A 15768-nucleotide genomic window follows, 5' to 3' on the forward strand; every position below is an offset into this window, starting at 1 on the left:
ATGCTCAGGCCTCTTCCCCAGGGCTGAGGTGGGCCTGGGGGGGACAATCCTGCCCCAGGGGTCCCTCAGGTCTGACTCCAGTACCCTGTCTCCAGCGCTCCCAGATCAGCTACAAATGCCACCTGGTGCTGCGCCCCATCCCCGAGCTGCTGCGGGCCCCCCCAGAGCGGGTGTGGGTGACCATGCCCAGAAGGCCACCCCCCAGTGGGGGGCTCTCATCCTCCTCGGATTCTGAAGAGGAAGAGCTGGAAGAGCTGCCCTCAGTGCCCCGCCCACTGCAGCCCGAGTTCTCTGGCTCCCGGGTGTCCCTCACAGACATTCCCACTGAGGATGAGGCCCTGGGGACCCCAGAGACTGGGGCTGCCACCCCCATGGACTGGCAGGAGCAGGGAAGGGCTCCCTCTCAGGACCAGGAGGCTCCCAGCCCAGAGGCCCTCCCCTCCCCAGGCCAGGAGCCCGCAGCTGGGGCTAGCCCCAGGCGGGGAGAGCTCCGCAGGGGCAGCTCGGCTGAGAGCGCCCTGCCCCGGGCCGGGCCGCGGGAGCTGGGCCGGGGCCTGCACAAGGCGGCGTCTGTGGAGCTGCCGCAGCGCCGGAGCCCCAGCCCGGGAGCCACCCGCCTGGCCCGGGGAGGCCTGGGTGAGGGCGAGTATGCCCAGAGGCTGCAGGCCCTGCGCCAGCGGCTGCTGCGGGGAGGCCCCGAGGATGGCAAGGTCAGCGGCCTCAGGGGTCCCCTGCTGGAGAGCCTGGGGGGCCGTGCTCGGGACCCCCGGATGGCACGAGCTGCCTCCAGCGAGGCAGCGCCCCACCACCAGCCCCCACTCGAGAACCGGGGCCTGCAAAAGAGCAGCAGCTTCTCCCAGGGTGAGGCGGAGCCCCGGGGCCGGCACCGCCGAGCGGGGGCGCCCCTCGAGATCCCCGTGGCCAGGCTTGGGGCCCGTAGGCTACAGGAGTCTCCTTCCCTGTCTGCCCTCAGCGAGGCCCAGCCATCCAGCCCTGCACGGCCCAGCGCCCCCAAACCCAGTACCCCTAAGTCTGCAGAACCTTCTGCCACCACACCTAGTGATGCTCCGCAGCCCCCCGCACCCCAGCCTGCCCAAGACAAGGCTCCAGAGCCCAGGCCAGAACCAGTCCGAGCCTCCAAGCCTGCACCACCCCCCCAGGCCCTGCAAACCCTAGCGCTGCCCCTCACACCCTATGCTCAGATCATTCAGTCCCTCCAGCTGTCAGGCCACGCCCAGGGCCCCTCGCAGGGCCCTGCCGCGCCGCCTTCAGAGCCCAAGCCCCACGCTGCTGTCTTTGCCAGGGTGGCCTCCCCACCTCCGGGAGCCCCCGAGAAGCGCGTGCCCTCAGCCGGGGGTCCCCCGGTGCTAGCCGAGAAAGCCCGAGTTCCCACGGTGCCCCCCAGGCCAGGCAGCAGTCTCAGTAGCAGCATCGAAAACTTGGAGTCGGAGGCCGTGTTCGAGGCCAAGTTCAAGCGCAGCCGCGAGTCGCCCCTGTCGCTGGGGCTGCGGCTGCTGAGCCGTTCGCGCTCGGAGGAGCGCGGCCCCTTCCGTGGGGCCGAGGAGGAGGATGGCATATACCGGCCCAGCCCGGCGGGGACCCCGCTGGAGCTGGTGCGACGGCCTGAGCGCTCACGCTCGGTGCAGGACCTCAGGGCTGTCGGAGAGCCTGGCCTCGTCCGCCGCCTCTCGCTGTCACTGTCCCAGCGGCTGCGGCGGACCCCTCCCGCGCAGCGCCACCCGGCCTGGGAGGCCCGCGGCGGGGACGGAGAGAGCTCGGAGGGCGGGAGCTCGGCGCGGGGCTCCCCGGTGCTGGCGATGCGCAGGCGGCTGAGCTTCACCCTGGAGCGGCTGTCCAGCCGATTGCAGCGCAGTGGCAGCAGCGAGGACTCGGGGGGCGCGTCGGGCCGCAGCACGCCGCTGTTCGGACGGCTTCGCAGGGCCACGTCCGAGGGCGAGAGTCTGCGGCGCCTTGGCCTTCCGCACAACCAGTTGGCCGCCCAGGCCGGCGCCACCACGCCTTCCGCCGAGTCCCTGGGCTCCGAGGCCAGCGCCACGTCGGGCTCCTCAGGTGAGGAGGGGCAGGGGTAGGGCAGCAGGTGCAGAGGAGGGTGGGGTGCGCTGGAGAGAGGCTGTGGGAGGAGCAGAGGGCTGGGGACACCCACCAGGGGCAGGCTGAGGCCCCGAGGGTGGAATCAGCAGGGCTGGAGGGGAGGAAAGCAGGAATGGCGGCAGGGCTGGGTGGGCTAGGGGTTCCTTCTGGTTCTCTGGGCTGAGGGCTGCAGAGAGGTGGGAACTTGCTGGTACTGACTGAACAAATACTCACGGGCCTGAGTCTTCACAGCCCCAGGGGAAAGCCGAAGCCGGCTCCGCTGGGGCTTCTCTCGGCCGCGGAAGGACAAGGGGTTATCGCCACCAAACCTCTCTGCCAGCGTCCAGGAGGAGTTGGGTCACCAGTACGTGCGCAGTGAGTCAGGTAATAAGAGGCCTGCTGGGTGAGGACCCTCCTCCCCTCCTGCCCTCCCCTACCCCCATCAGGGAGCAGTCATGGCTGGTGAGAGGTGGGCCACCTTGACAAACCTAGTGGAAGGGGTCTGCTCAGACAACTATAACAATAGCAGTAGCTGACATTCATTAGATAAGCTGAGTGTTCTATTAAACACTTTACAAGCACTGCCTCATTCAATCCTGCAGCACTGTTTGGGAAATATTAGTATCATTGTCTCTACTGTACAGGTGAGGAAACGGGCTTAGTGATGCTAAGGATCTGTCCAAGTCACAGGGCTAGTAAGTGGAGCAGCTGAAGTTGGACTGTGTGACCTTCTGCAGCCAGGTCCCTGAAACGGCTTCAGGACACCACTTACGTCTGTCGGGCTGGCCTCCTCTCTCCTGGGAGACCCTAGAATGTTTCTGTAACTGGCTGTACTTTTCAAGGAGCTCAAGATATAGGGCCCTCCTGCCTCCACAGTCCCCCTTTAGATGTGTGTGTGCTTGGGTGTGTACCCAAAGACACTCACTTTCTCTCCAGCCTAGAGGACCACGACCTGGATTGTGCCCCCTAAGTCTCCATTGCTCTGCAGCTCCGAACACCTGACTGCCCCTCCCTGACCCTTCTGCACAGAAAAGCAGCCTTTGGAGCTCTTTGCTAGCTCTTTGCCCTCTTCTGTTTCTCTGCCTGAGTGTCCTGGAGCTCCAGATAGGGAGGCATTCCCCATGTGGGGTCACCCCATCCCCCCTGAAAAAGGGGCATTACTCAAGGACGACAAGCAAAGGCTTCGGGAGGTTGGGTTTTCCAGGCCAGCATGCAGGAAGGGAGCGAGTCCATGAAGCCAGGCTGTGTGCAGGATCTTGACGAGCCACCAGTCCTGTTCTTCCCCCATTTCCTGGTAAAACTCAGAATAGAGTGGCTGTCGAGTCTTGCCTCAGCTGGGCTTATAGGGATTGTGTCCAGCCTTGGCCAGGGCAAAGGGGGCTGCAGTGAGAGAAAAGGATGGAGGGAAGGGCTGCTGGTGGGGAGGGGAGGGTGGAGAGTGAGGGGGAAAGAAAGCGATCAGCCAGCAGAGAGGCCTGGGGACAGCTGATCCCTTCCCACCTGGGGCCTCCCTCCCGGCCCAGTTTTGCTTATGCAGCTGATTTCCTGCTGAGGCAGTGTCCCCTTACCTCATCCGCTCCCCGTTCCCTGCAGAAACAAGGCTGTCCCAGGCTACTTTAACAACCAGGGCTGGCACCTAGGAATGGGGGTGGGGCTGGCGGGGCTGGCAGGGCTGGGCCCGGGTCACTTTCACCTCTGAGAGAGGTGGCCTCTCTCTCTCTCTCCCTGCTACCCAGTACCCTCACTTGGCCTGGAGGCAGCCATTGAGAAACTGTGTTCACATTGCCTTGTTGGAACCTCAGTGTGGGACCCCTCCTTGGGGAGCAGTGGGGTACAGCGGGAAGGGGGCACACTGCCATCCTGATCACCACACCTGCTGAGTACTCCTCTTCTGCCTGGCTCATCCCCACTCCCAGTCCCCCACAATTCTTCAGACAGGCAGCAGCTGGGGCTCACAAGGCTCCTCAGCTTTCTCTTCCCAGGTGAATAAAATCCACCCCCAAGTCCTCCCCTATCCCCACCCTTCACCCACCACCCCCATGGCCCAGCTGGGATTCTTCTAAAGGGACATTCCCAGGGATCATGCACTCAAATCCTCAGGGCACTAAAGAGGCACAGGCTGGCTACATTGGAGGAAGGAAAACTGGTCGCATCCCTAGCCCTGCATGTGCACAGCCACCAGCTAGCTGTGAAGGCAGCTTCTCTGCTTTGCTGGAACAGCCTTTCTCTGGGGGTCTGTCTGCTCCAGGCTTCTCTGCTGGCCATATTATTGAGAAAATGATAACAACAAGAGAAGTTAGTATTTATGATCAGTTACTCTATGGCAGACACTTTACATGCCTCGTAATTGTCACAGCAAGCATCCTGTGGGCGTGGGATTATTTTCCTTGATTTACAGATTAGAAATGGAGCTTCTGAGAGAGTAAATGACTTGCCCAAGGTCAGGCAGATACTGTCTCTTGCCCCTTCAAAAGCTCTCACCACTTAATTGACCTGAAGGAGTATACAGAAGACCTACGACCCTGTCCCCCGATGGCAGGTGGGAAGAGGGGCCAGGAAGCCGACACGCTTCCAGGGTCTGCCCACAGTTTTCCTAGACTGCAGCTCTTTTGAGACTGCACATTCTGATAGAACATTCCTCATTTGGTCCCATCTCAGCTCGGGTCACTAACTCATCTCAATTCTCTTCTCACTTGCCCTGTGGTGCCCCAGAGAGGGTAGGTCTTGCAGGATCTTAACCATTATAGTTTTTCAGTATTTGTTTGCTTTTATTTTATTTAACAAATGCTTATAGACCACTTACTTAGTGCCAGGCCCTGCTCTAAGTGATTTACAAACCCATGACATAAGTAGCATTGTCAGCAGTCAGTGCAAGGAAAAAGCAGTTCTGCACACAGTGAGGGCCTGGGGAAAGTGATGCTTGCCCCAAAGAAAATTATCGAAGGCATGGCGTGGGGTTCCACTTTCCACATCTGCCTGGGAAGAGACAAAGTTTCATGCTGCTTCCTGATGGCTGTTTGCAGGCCTTCTCCACCCCTCCCTCAGCAGTAAGTGGGCCAGGGTCCCTACAGATAGATGGCTGTCTCTGCTTTTCCTCCAGACTTCCCCCCAGTCTTCCACATCAAACTCAAGGACCAGGTGCTGCTGGAGGGGGAGGCAGCCACCCTGCTCTGCCTGCCAGCGGCCTGCCCTGCACCGCACATCTCCTGGATGAAAGGTAAGGAGACTCTGTCTCCCACAGAGAGGGAGGCCAGCAAGTGGCCCTGAGCCCAGGGGATGGGAGGGGCTAGGCCGGAGTGGGGACTGAGCACGGTTAGGGGGGATGCTGGAGTGGGGAGTGAGTGAGGGGGCCTGGACATGTGCTGCCTCACTCAGCAGCAACTCCTGCTCCTCCCTGTCCCCAGACAAGAAGTCCTTGAGGTCAGAGCCCTCAGTGATCATCGTGTCCTGCAAAGATGGGCGGCAGCTGCTCAGCATCCCCCGGGCGGGCAAGCGGCACGCCGGTCTCTATGAGTGCTCGGCCACCAACGTACTGGGCAGCATCACCAGCTCCTGTACCGTGGCTGTGGCCCGTGAGCCTGGGGCAGGGCCCCAGGGGGGTAGTGATGGGGATGGTGGGACAGGGCTTGAGGGGTTCTTAGCTAGGGTATAGGGGCTCACTGGGACTCTTCTTTCTCTTGCCAGGAGTCCCAGGAAAGCTAGCTCCTCCAGAGGTACCCCAGACCTACCAGGACACGGCGCTGGTGCTGTGGAAGCCGGGAGACAGCCGGGCACCTTGCACGTATACGCTGGAGCGGCGAGTGGATGGTGAGGATGGGGCAGCTGGAGGGTTGGGGGAGCGGCAGGGGGAGGGTAGAGGAGTCTGGTAAGGCCAGTGCCCTCCCAGGCTCCACAGATAGCACCGTGGGAGCTGGGGCCACCGCTTCTGTGACCTCAGCCCCTCCCCCATACTGCCTATAGGGGAGTCTGTGTGGCACCCTGTGAGCTCAGGCATCCCCGACTGTTACTACAACGTGACCCACCTGCCAGTTGGCGTGACTGTGAGGTTCCGTGTGGCCTGTGCCAACCGTGCTGGGCAGGGGCCCTTCAGCAACTCTTCTGAGAAGGTCTTTGTCAGGGGTACTCAAGGTCAGTGCAATGGTATGGGGTGGGAGGAGGAAGGGGGCTCTGAGCCTAGGGTTCTTGTGGAGCACCATGGCCTTGCCCCAAGGCACCACGGTGATGATTTTCTCTCTCTCTTAGATTCTTCAGCTGTGCCATCTGCTGCCCACCAAGAGGCCCCTGTCACCTCAAGGCCAGCCAGGGCCCGGCCTCCTGACTCTCCTACCTCACTGGCCCCACCCCTAGCTCCTGCTGCCCCCACACCCCCGTCAGTCACTGTCAGCCCCTCATCTCCCCCCACACCTCCTAGCCAGGCCTTGTCCTCGCTCAAGGCTGTGGGTCCACCACCCCAAACCCCTCCACGAAGACACAGGGGCCTGCAGGCTGCCCGGCCAGCGGAGCCCACCCTACCCAGTACCCACGTCACCCCAAGTGAGCCCAAGCCTTTCGTCCTTGACACTGGGACCCCGATCCCAGCCTCCACTCCTCAAGGGGTTAAACCAGTGTCTTCCTCTACTCCTGTGTATGTGGTGACTTCCTTTGTGTCTGCACCACCAGCCCCTGAGCCCCCAGCCCCTGAGCCCCCTCCTGAGCCTACCAAGGTGACTGTGCAGAGCCTCAGCCCGGCCAAGGAGGTGGTCAGCTCCCCTGGGAGCAGTCCCCGAAGCTCTCCCAGGCCTGAGGGTACCACTCTTCGACAGGGTCCCCCTCAGAAACCCTACACCTTCCTGGAGGAGAAAGCCAGGCAAGCAGGGCTGGGGAAGGGAAGAGGACAGAGGGGAGTGGGCCAAATGTCTGGAGCACATGGCTTCGGAGAGAAGACCAGACTGTCCTGGCTGGGGTGGGGGGAGGTGCTGAGACCTGGGTTATTAGAATGATTGCGTTCAAATGTGCCAGACACTGCACTGCGTGCTTTAGCCATATGATCTCATCAAATCTTCACAACTCTGAGAGACACTGCGCTATTAGCATCACCCATTTCACAGGTGGCAAAGCTGAGGTTAGAGAAGCTATGGGATTTACCTAAGGTACAGAGCCAGTGAGTGGCGAAGGTGGGACTCGAACCCTGGTTTCTAGGATTGAACTCTGGAGCCCACACTGGAACCACTGCATTCTTGCCCCTAGGGGTCCCTGCTCTCCTCCGTTAGCCCTCACTATGGAAGTGTCCCCCTCCTCTCCTCTGAGCCGGTGGTGTCCCTCCCCCCGACACACAGGGGCCGCTTTGGTGTTGTGCGAGCGTGCCGGGAGAATGCCACGGGGCGAACGTTCGTGGCCAAGATCGTGCCCTATGCTGCCGAGGGCAAGCGGCGGGTCCTGCAGGAGTACGAGGTGCTGCGGACCCTGCACCACGAGCGGATCATGTCCCTGCACGAGGCCTACATCACCCCTCGGTACCTCGTGCTCATTGCTGAGAGCTGTGGCAACCGGGAACTCCTCTGTGGGCTCAGTGACAGGTAGCTGGGAATTCTAGGGGAGTAGGGAGGAAGAGGTAGGGGAGGCTGGGCCGGGTATCATCTGCTCCATCCCTGCCCTCCCAGGTTCCGGTATTCTGAGGATGACGTGGCCACTTACATGGTGCAGCTGCTACAAGGCCTGGACTACCTCCACGGCCACCACGTGCTCCACCTAGACATCAAGCCAGACAACCTGCTGCTGGCCCCTGACAATGCCCTCAAGATTGTGGACTTTGGCAGTGCCCAGCCCTACAACCCCCAGGCCCTTAGGCCCCTTGGCCACCGCACGGGCACGCTGGAGTTCATGGGTGAGGGGACCAGCTGCCAGCCAGGGTGGGGACAGGGCCCTGCCAGAGAGGCAGCAGCCAGGGCTCACCCCACTTCACTTACATATGTGCCACTTATTGAGTGATTACTGTATTCAAGCAATGAACGAAGTATGTGGATTGATCTTTACAATAACCCTGGAGTGTGGCATAATATTAGCCCCCTTTTACAGATGAGGAAACTGAGGGGTACTGATGTTAGGGATTTGTGCAATCAGACAATTATAAATGCTAGAGGCAGGATTCACTACAGCCAAAAAGACAGGAGAATCAATTATTATTTTATTTAAATAAGGAGAACCAGCTACCATCGAGCACCCTGCTAAATGCTTGACGTTCATGATCTCTCTTCCTTGGTGTGGTTCTACAGGCCACACTTTACGGATGAGGCTGTGGAGAGCCAGGCAGGTTTAGTAAATCGCCCAGGGTCCCATAGCTAGAAGGGGCAGGTCTGGGATTAGAGCCAGCCAGGCTGATTTTGAAGGCTTTTAATCTTGGTGTCAGCCACACTCTTTGTGAATGGGAGCCATACCTTGGAGCCGATCCAAGGGAGCTTGTCACCCTGCTTCTCAGCCCCTCTGGAGTTCTGGGGACCCCGCCATTTTGTGCCTGGGTTAATTCCTCAGGTGACCCATATGTCTCTTGGGGTATGCCACCACCTCTGTCCTGCCTACTGGCCTTCAGGGCCTGCCACTCTGGACATTCCCATGGTCTGGTGACCAGGACATTGTCCTGCTGCTCAAGCACCCAGGGACCTCCCCCGCCCCCACTTCCCTGCCACCAGGAAGCTGGGTCAGCTTGGCCTCTGTCTCCTGTCAGCTCCGGAGATGGTGAAGGGAGAACCCATCGGCTCTGCCACGGACATCTGGGGAGCGGGTGTGCTCACTTACATTATGTGAGTGTCCCCTACCCCACCGCAGCCCTCTCTGCCCATACAGTGAGCTCCCGGACTCACCTTCTGCCAACACCCTCTCCCCCGTGCCCCACCTCCCCTGTACACACATCCACACTGCACACTCACACTCAGGTGCACAGTAGCATGGCCCTGAGCACTGTGCACCTGACACTAATGTCCTTCTGGGTCTGGGTGTTGGCCTCCGGTCTGCATACGTCAATCAAGCTATCTTCCCCAACAGGCTCAGTGGACGCTCCCCGTTCTATGAGCCAGACCCCCAGGAAACGGAGGCTCGGATTGTGGGGGGCCGCTTTGATGCCTTCCAGCTGTACCCCAATACATCCCAGAGCGCCACCCTCTTCTTGCGAAAGGTTCTCTCTGTACATCCCTGGTGAGTGAGCCCCACACCTGCTATCCCCCAGTGTTACCTGCCCCTGGCCTGGCCTGTGCCAGAGATCTCCCAGCTCCTCCCCTGCTCCTAGGAAGAAGTCTGCTGCTTCTACTAAATGGTCATACTACCCACCATTTAAAGCCTGAGGCAGCCCCGTGCAAGGCAGACTCACTGTCCCCATTCCGGAGACTGGGGAACTGAGCTCTTGAGCTGCCCAAGATCACACATGTAGGGGTGGGATCCAGGACTGGGACATGGGTCTGCGGGAGGACAGAGCCCCGGCAGCTCCCAGAGCTTCCTTCCAGGTTCATCATCCCTGGCTCTGCCTGGCAGGAGCCGGCCCTCCCTGCAGGACTGCCTGGCCCACCCATGGTTGCAGGACGCCTACCTGATGAAGCTGCGCCGCCAGACGCTCACCTTCACCACCAACCGGCTCAAGGAGTTCCTGGGCGAGCAGCGGCGGCGCCGGGCTGAGGCTGCCACCCGCCACAAGGTGCTGCTGCGCTCCTACCCTGGCGGCCCCTAGAGGCACGGACCACAGCCAGGCCTCGGGCTTCAACTGGGGTTCCCACCAATGCCACGGGACATTCCAGGGCCCACGCTGAGCCAGGCGGGCCTGGGGCTTCGGTTACCACCAGCAGCAACATCTGGCTGGGCTCTTACCTCATAGACCTTCAAGGACAGAGACCCCAGGGCCTGGACCTGATGCCACCCCAGGCCAAAGCCAGAGTGGGAGACCCATTGGTCAGGCTCAGCAGGGTGGGAACAGGCAGAGGGACAAGAGGGGAATGGAGAAGTGGAGAGGAAAAGGAATCGAGGGACAGGAAGGGGGAGGCTCTAGGAAGGTTCTGGGTTGGGGGTCAGTGCATCTCAGGGAGAACCAAGGAAGGTGGGCATGGCTGGAGAGGAGGAAAAGGAAGGAGCCCCAGGTGTCAGGGCAGTAGGCTGGGAGTCAGTGTGGCAAAGCGGGGGCAGGACACAGATACAGTGGCAGGGGCCCAGGGCTGGGACATGAGAGAAGGCAGCGAGGCGGCAGAGGGAGAAGAGAGGACTCAGGTGGAGGTGGGGTGGGTCAGCTGTCAGCATCCCTCAGAGGAGAAATGTGGAGAGCTGGAGGCCAGCAGTCACTCACACTCGCTCTGTCCTCCTGTCCAGTGGATACAGCCCTGGGCGCTCTGCTGGCCCAAGGATGTCCCCACTGCCCCTCCATGGCCTCTGGCCTTCTTCCCATTCATATTTATTTATTTATTGACTTTTATGAAGTTTCCCCTTCCATCCGATCCCTACTGCCCATGTTGTCCTGACCATCCCTCCCAGCCATCCAGCTGTCTGTCTGTCTGCCACAAGGAAATAAAAATGGCAAGCAGCATAACCTGTGTGTCTATTGGGAGGGATGGCTGGAGGGGAAGATGGCTGGTGAGGGGTGAGTCCGGGACAGGGGCATTTAGCCCTCTCTGGGTATTCCCCAACACACACATTCAGGAATATACCAGCTAGCACTTTGGGTCCTTCCAACCCCCTCCCGTGACCCTCCTGGCCCCTCACCTCTCCTTATTCCTGGAGGGAGGGGAGACTGTGGTCTGCTTCTCCCCTTGCAGTTTCCGGAATGTTGGCAGATCCACTGAACCCCTGCAACCAGGCTCTAGTAGCCCCCACCTCTTGTCACGTGTTCCCTCATCACAATGTGGGGGATGCTGGGCTCTGAAATAGGCCAGCCCTCACCCCAATCCTGGCTCAGCCTTGTTCACTCTCCCCAGAAGACAGGCAGGAGCTCTGGTCCTGACCCCTGGAGCAGAGTGGGTTTCATCCTGATGGTTGGTGAGAGTAGGTAGTGTGAGGAGCTGCAGAAGAAACCAGGACAGGGAGGCTAAGGTGGCTGGATCACCTGAGGTCAGGAGTTCAAGACCAGCCTAGCCAACATGATGAAACCCCGTCTCTACTAAAAATACAAAAATTAGCCAGGCGTGGTGGTGCACACCTGTGATCTCAGCTACTCAGGAGGCTGAGGCAGGAGAATCGCTTAAACCTGGGAGGTGAAGGTTGCAATGAGCCAAGATTGCACCACTGCGCTCCAGCCTGGATGACAGAGTGAGACTCCATCTCAAAAAGAAACACTAGGACAGGCTCACACCCCTTGCCCTCCATGTCACAGCACATATCAGAGCACATGGAGAGCACCAGCTGGGAGTGCTCTAGTCTGCTGTGTCCAGCATTTTCCTAGGGCTGAGGGACACACCAGCCTGGACCTTCTTGTCCACATGGCAAGTTAGGAGGTCTGCTGGGTGCTAAAGCACCTCAATTCTAGCCACACCCGTGCCATAGAATGGTCACTGGGACCTAGGACTGAGCTGCTCTGCCCTGAGGTTGGGGACGAGGGATTGGGGGGTTGGCAGGGACCCAGACCTCCTTGTCTCCAGAGGAAATGTTTCCCTCATCCCCACCTTCAAAATTCTGTTCTTGGCAAAGTAAAAGGAACAAAGCCTCTGACCAGGGTAGACAGAGTTGTCACTGCTGTGTTGCTGATGGAGGTTGAGGGCCCCTTGGCTCCAGCCCAGACAACCCTTTTGCCCAGCCCAGCCCAGCCTCTCTAGCTTCTCAGGACCCCAGGGAAGAGGCAAGCCCCATCATCATAAAATAACAGGATGTTAAAGCCAGCTGGAAGGGACCAGAACGACACCTTGCCTACCTGTCATTTTAGCGATGAAGATATACAGTTTGCCTGTAAGAATCTCCAATCCCCTACACACTGCAAGTGTTTTGTATAAAAATGAGGTGCCTGAACTCATATCTTGATAAATGGTAAAATTCCTCTCCCGTCCCCGCTCTGATCTTGAGCTCCCTTCCCATCTCCATTGGAAATGGCATGTGAACTGCTTGTTCCAAACCCGGAGGAGCAAAGGTAATTTATGTCAGCAGAGCTATGTCAAAATTGCTCTGATCAAAACGTGACAGTGCCCCCACACTAGGGCGGGTAGTTCCAATGAATGGAAGCAATGCTTCTGCCCGGTGCCCGGCCTGGGCAGACTGGCCTCCAGGCAATCCCCAGAGGGGTTAACTGAACCCCTTCACCCCAGGTGGTCTGATGCCCCTATGCACCAATTTATGCCCCCAAAAAGGAATTGGGCAGACCTAGGGTTGGGGCCAGTAGTGGTGCTAATCTCCAAGGACAGTGCAGTCTAAACAGCCCCCACCATGTGACATCGAGGGGAGTGAGTGGGGATGGGGAAGGCATGGAGGGGCTGCTATTCTCAAAAATCTTTCCCGTCCCCTCCCGGTTTATCTCAGTTTACCGCCAGGGGGCACAGTGTGGAAGTGACAACCCTGGACTCCTGGGGTTGGGGGTAGGGGAAGAGTAAGGAGCTTCTGGATTGGTCTTGACAGCCACGTGGCCCTGTTGCCGTTAGCTGTAGGGGCCCTGAGGACCAAGTCCGATGCTACTCTGGCTGTATTCAGGGAAACCCCAGAAACACTCAAACCCCTTAACCAACAGGGTGTGTTGTCTGACTATCCAGAGCCCAACCTGATTGAAAAGCTGCCCCAGCAGGAAGCTGGATCTCTTGTCAGCTAGGGGCTGAATCTGGTCCTCCTGGGAGTGGGATGGATACCCCCTGCCCTGGGAGGGGACAGGGCAGCATCCAGCTGTCCAGCTGTCCAGGTGCTGACGCAAGGTGCACCTCAGAGCTGCTCGGGTTTCTCCCCACGGGCCTAGCCCAGCGGCTGAGCCAGCATCCCAGGCATCCACAGGCTAAATAAAGAGCCTGCCTGAGTCAGAGGGAGGCGGATGGGGCCCCGGGGGGCTTGGGGCAACCACGCCAAACAAGGCAAGGAGGGGAGCGATGTATAAAACCGGGCCCAGGGCTGAGCACCTGCCTGCACCCCTACTGTGCCATCCAGAAGGGCTCTGTGCTGCCTGCAATCCAGCCAGTCGACTCAAGTCCCTAGGTCAACCCCTCCACGGTGAGTCTGATCCTCAGAGAAGCCGCAGACACCCCCATTCCTCCATCTCCCTGAATGTTCTGACCAGGGAGGAAAAGGGCTGAAGGTGGGAGCCTCTGTCTCAACCTGGACCCCCATATTTGTCGCCCACTCCCCAGATGTCTAAAGCAGCTCCTGCCAAAAAGCCAGTGGCTGTGGCCCCAGCTCCTGGATGTACCCTGGACATCAATGACCCACAGGTCCAGAGTGCGGCCATTCGTATCCAGGCCTCTTACCGGGGCCACAGGTGAGAGGGAACCCCGGAGCCCTGTGGAGGAAGGGAGCTGCAGAGAGCGCACTCTTGAGTAGGGTTTGAGTAAGCGCTGAGCAGCGTCAGGAGCCTTTAGAATGAGTGGTCTCAGGGGAGGGTCGTTACTGAGGTATGGGGGAGTGGCCGGGAGGAATGCATCATCCTATCAGGGCAGCAGTTCAGGAGCAGTCCTCTTCCCTACCAAGCCACACGTTTAGGGGTCTGGCCGGTCCAGGGGGCAGGTAGGAGATGGTGCGCTCGCGGTAAGGGCTGTGGCCGGGCCTGTCTTAGGAACTCTGGGCCCTGACTCGGCCCGCGGGTAGGTCCCGGAAGGAGCTGCGCGAGAAGGGGCCGCCGCGGGTGCTGGAGCCGCTGAAGGACGTGGTGCTGATCGAAGGCAGCGCGGCCAAGCTCACTTGCCGCATTTCGGCTTTCCCGGACCCATTCATCCGCTGGAGTAAGGACGGCAAGGAGCTACGTGACGGTCCCAAGTACCGCTACGTCTTCGAGGACCCTGACGTGGTGGCACTGGTGGTGCGCGACGGCGAGCTGGCAGACCTGGGCCAGTACAGCATCAACGTCACCAACCCCTTCGGCCAGTGCTCCGACTCGGCGCGCATCCTCGTGGAAGGTACGCGCGCCCCGGGCGCAGCGCCAGGGCGCAGACCAGCACCACTCAGCCAGAGCCCGCAGCCCGGTCCAGCTGCGCGTGTTTACCTCTGGGCCTAGCTACAGGGTCCCCGCCAGCCCAGCTCTGGGCACGGCCTGGGGCGCATCGCCGCGCCAGCCAAGTGCGTCCTTCCCTACCTCGGGATCCAGCTCCACCCGGGCTGAGCAGTCAGCTGTGGACTTCCATCACGCGGCTCCGGGTCCCCAAGGTCACACAGCAAGCCAGAGGCAGAGCCAGGGTTGGACCCGGGTCTTCTGGCTCCCAACTCTGGCAATTTCCACTACCCGGAGCGGTCTCTGAGGCACCGCGAGATGTGTGAACATTCAGGGGCTTTCGCCCGCCTTATCTCTCTTGATCCTCTATTCGACCCCGAGAAGTAGGAGAGGCAGGGATAAGTCCCTTTAACAGCCAAGGAGATGAAACCAGAGAGGCTAATGATTTGCTCAACGTCACACTGCGAGTTTAAATGCATCTGTATTTAGTGCCGGGTATTAGCCGGTGAGGTGATGCCCTGCCTCATCTCCGGGTCCTTCACGGGGTTTCGCTCCCCTTTCCTTCCGCTAGTCCCGACGAAGATTCAAAAGGGACCCGACAACACTAAGGCGCGCAAAGGCACCACCGTGACGCTGACTGCGGAGATCCTGGGAGAGCCTGCGCCCGACGTAGGCTGGACCAAGGACGGGGAGGACATCGAGGAGGATGACAGGCGAGGGCCGGGACCTGCGGCACGGCCAGGGCCTGGGGCTGGAACCTGGGTGGGACTGAGCCCAGAAATCTGGCTGGAGTGACGGGGGCGGGGACTGGGCAGCGAGGAACAGAGCTGGCTAAGGAGCCCCGCCCAGTGCGCCCGTGTACTGACCACGGCTCCGCCCTCCTCCCCGCCGCCCTTCCGCAGGGTGTTCTTCGAGATCGGCAGCACCACCACGACGCTGACCATTCGCCGGGCCACGCCTCAGGACAGCGGCAAGTACGAGGTGTACGTGGAGAACAGCCTGGGCATGGACCAGAGCTTCGCTCGCGTCGACGTGGCCTGAACGGCACCCCCGGACCTTCCGCCCTGGCGCCGAGCCCGGGGGTGGTGGGACCCACAGCCCTCCACCAGCTTGCTTAATAAAGCTGCTCTCTGACCCTCCGCGTCTGTCCTGCTCTTCCGCGTCGCCATTCCCTCTCCCCCGCACCAGCGCCCACACGTATTCCAGACCCCCACGCCAAGGTCACAGCCTGTTGGAGTCACAGGGAGGTCTGGAGAGCGCCTAGCGCCGTGCTGCATTTCAGACAGTCAAACTGATAAGAGTTGCCCTCGCCGTCCAAGGCGCCCTCACTTCCCAGCGGTACCGCCGGCTGGGCCTGGGACTCCGCCTTCTCCGCTTTTGAGCGCCTCCAGCCCCAGCCCCTTGTGGCTGTTTGCCCCTGGCCCCGCCCCTTCCAGGGCTGGCCACACACCCCTGCTGTCCTTAGTCCCGTTTTCCTGTGGGACCCAGTTCCTCACTTCGGCTGCTGCCCCGAGGCCGATTCCCCAACAGCTCGGGTCCCAGTCTTAAGTTCCAGGCTGGGCTTCTCAGGCCCCACCCTTCTTCGCATTTAACCCCGCCCCGCGATCCCTTGGTCACACCCC

The 15768-nt window shown here is 60.4% G+C and overlaps 2 protein-coding genes and 1 long non-coding RNA gene across 21 annotated transcripts in view, besides 9 other annotated features; 2 read left to right on the plus strand and 1 right to left on the minus strand.

Moving 5' to 3' along the window:
- The window catches only part of SPEG (striated muscle enriched protein kinase), a 58787-nt gene extending 48160 nt beyond the window's left edge, over window positions 1–10627 (plus strand). For 17 of the 19 annotated variants that reach the window (XM_011510479.3, XM_047442893.1, XM_047442892.1 and 14 more), the window contains 12 exons: window positions 96–2070; window positions 2344–2475; window positions 5192–5308; window positions 5496–5663; window positions 5776–5898; window positions 6052–6219; window positions 6334–6937; window positions 7407–7646; window positions 7731–7954; window positions 8792–8867; window positions 9109–9258; window positions 9592–10627. In XM_011510479.3, the coding sequence (XP_011508781.1) occupies window positions 96–2070; window positions 2344–2475; window positions 5192–5308; window positions 5496–5663; window positions 5776–5898; window positions 6052–6219; window positions 6334–6937; window positions 7407–7646; window positions 7731–7954; window positions 8792–8867; window positions 9109–9258; window positions 9592–9784 (4170 nt within the window). In that variant the 3' untranslated portion in view covers window positions 9785–10627. Of the gene's footprint in view, window positions 1–95; window positions 2071–2343; window positions 2476–3827; window positions 5172–5191; window positions 5309–5495; window positions 5664–5775; window positions 5899–6051; window positions 6220–6333; window positions 6938–7406; window positions 7647–7730; window positions 7955–8791; window positions 8868–9108; window positions 9259–9563 lie in introns of those variants that run through there. The other 2 variants (XM_047442891.1, XM_017003159.3) reach the window with 2 other exon arrangements.
- The window catches only part of ASIC4-AS1 (ASIC4 antisense RNA 1), a 35355-nt gene that overhangs the window by 1271 nt on the left and 18316 nt on the right, over window positions 1–15768 (minus strand). The window lies entirely within an intron of this gene.
- Window positions 1257–2058: an enhancer, noted in NCBI's record as "H3K27ac-H3K4me1 hESC enhancer chr2:220348981-220349782 (GRCh37/hg19 assembly coordinates)". NCBI's record gives its function as "activates a minimal SCP1, AML or CMV promoter by ChIP-STARR-seq in primed H9 embryonic stem cells {active_cell/tissue: H9 hESC(primed)}" and the evidence as "EXISTENCE:reporter gene assay evidence [ECO:0000049][PMID:30033119]".
- Window positions 12434–12614: a silencer, noted in NCBI's record as "fragment chr2:220360158-220360338 (GRCh37/hg19 assembly coordinates)". NCBI's record gives its function as "represses an EF-1alpha promoter that drives an FKBP-Casp9 reporter gene in an ReSE screen in K562 erythroleukemia cells {active_cell/tissue: K562}" and the evidence as "EXISTENCE:reporter gene assay evidence [ECO:0000049][PMID:32094911]".
- Window positions 12434–13310: a biological region, named in NCBI's record as "Sharpr-MPRA regulatory region 15624".
- Window positions 12465–12759: an enhancer, noted in NCBI's record as "tiled region #15624; K562 Activating DNase unmatched - State 8:EnhW". NCBI's record gives its function as "activates a minimal TATA promoter and a strong SV40 promoter by Sharpr-MPRA in K562 cells {active_cell/tissue: K562}" and the evidence as "EXISTENCE:reporter gene assay evidence [ECO:0000049][PMID:27701403]".
- Window positions 12493–13310: an enhancer, noted in NCBI's record as "H3K4me1 hESC enhancer chr2:220360217-220361034 (GRCh37/hg19 assembly coordinates)". NCBI's record gives its function as "activates a minimal SCP1, AML or CMV promoter by ChIP-STARR-seq in primed H9 embryonic stem cells {active_cell/tissue: H9 hESC(primed)}" and the evidence as "EXISTENCE:reporter gene assay evidence [ECO:0000049][PMID:30033119]".
- On the plus strand, window positions 13129–15285 carry SPEGNB (SPEG neighbor). The gene is made up of 5 exons (NM_001286811.2): window positions 13129–13215; window positions 13353–13480; window positions 13807–14114; window positions 14718–14859; window positions 15049–15285. Exons 2-5 carry the CDS (start codon window positions 13353–13355, stop codon window positions 15185–15187), a joined length of 717 nt encoding a protein of 238 aa, NP_001273740.1. The 5' UTR covers window positions 13129–13215; the 3' UTR covers window positions 15188–15285.
- Window positions 13311–14128: an enhancer, noted in NCBI's record as "H3K27ac-H3K4me1 hESC enhancer chr2:220361035-220361852 (GRCh37/hg19 assembly coordinates)". NCBI's record gives its function as "activates a minimal SCP1, AML or CMV promoter by ChIP-STARR-seq in primed H9 embryonic stem cells {active_cell/tissue: H9 hESC(primed)}" and the evidence as "EXISTENCE:reporter gene assay evidence [ECO:0000049][PMID:30033119]".
- Window positions 14129–14946: an enhancer, noted in NCBI's record as "H3K27ac-H3K4me1 hESC enhancer chr2:220361853-220362670 (GRCh37/hg19 assembly coordinates)". NCBI's record gives its function as "activates a minimal SCP1, AML or CMV promoter by ChIP-STARR-seq in naive H9 embryonic stem cells {active_cell/tissue: H9 hESC(naive)}" and the evidence as "EXISTENCE:reporter gene assay evidence [ECO:0000049][PMID:30033119]".
- Window positions 14859–14938: a silencer, noted in NCBI's record as "silent region_12357". NCBI's record gives its function as "represses an Ori minimal core promoter by ATAC-STARR-seq in GM12878 lymphoblastoid cells {active_cell/tissue: GM12878}" and the evidence as "EXISTENCE:reporter gene assay evidence [ECO:0000049][PMID:35858748]".
- Window positions 14947–15764: an enhancer, noted in NCBI's record as "H3K27ac-H3K4me1 hESC enhancer chr2:220362671-220363488 (GRCh37/hg19 assembly coordinates)". NCBI's record gives its function as "activates a minimal SCP1, AML or CMV promoter by ChIP-STARR-seq in naive H9 embryonic stem cells {active_cell/tissue: H9 hESC(naive)}" and the evidence as "EXISTENCE:reporter gene assay evidence [ECO:0000049][PMID:30033119]".

This window comes from Homo sapiens, chromosome 2, assembly GCF_000001405.40.
Source record: "Homo sapiens chromosome 2, GRCh38.p14 Primary Assembly".
Lineage (NCBI taxonomy): Eukaryota > Metazoa > Chordata > Mammalia > Primates > Hominidae > Homo > Homo sapiens.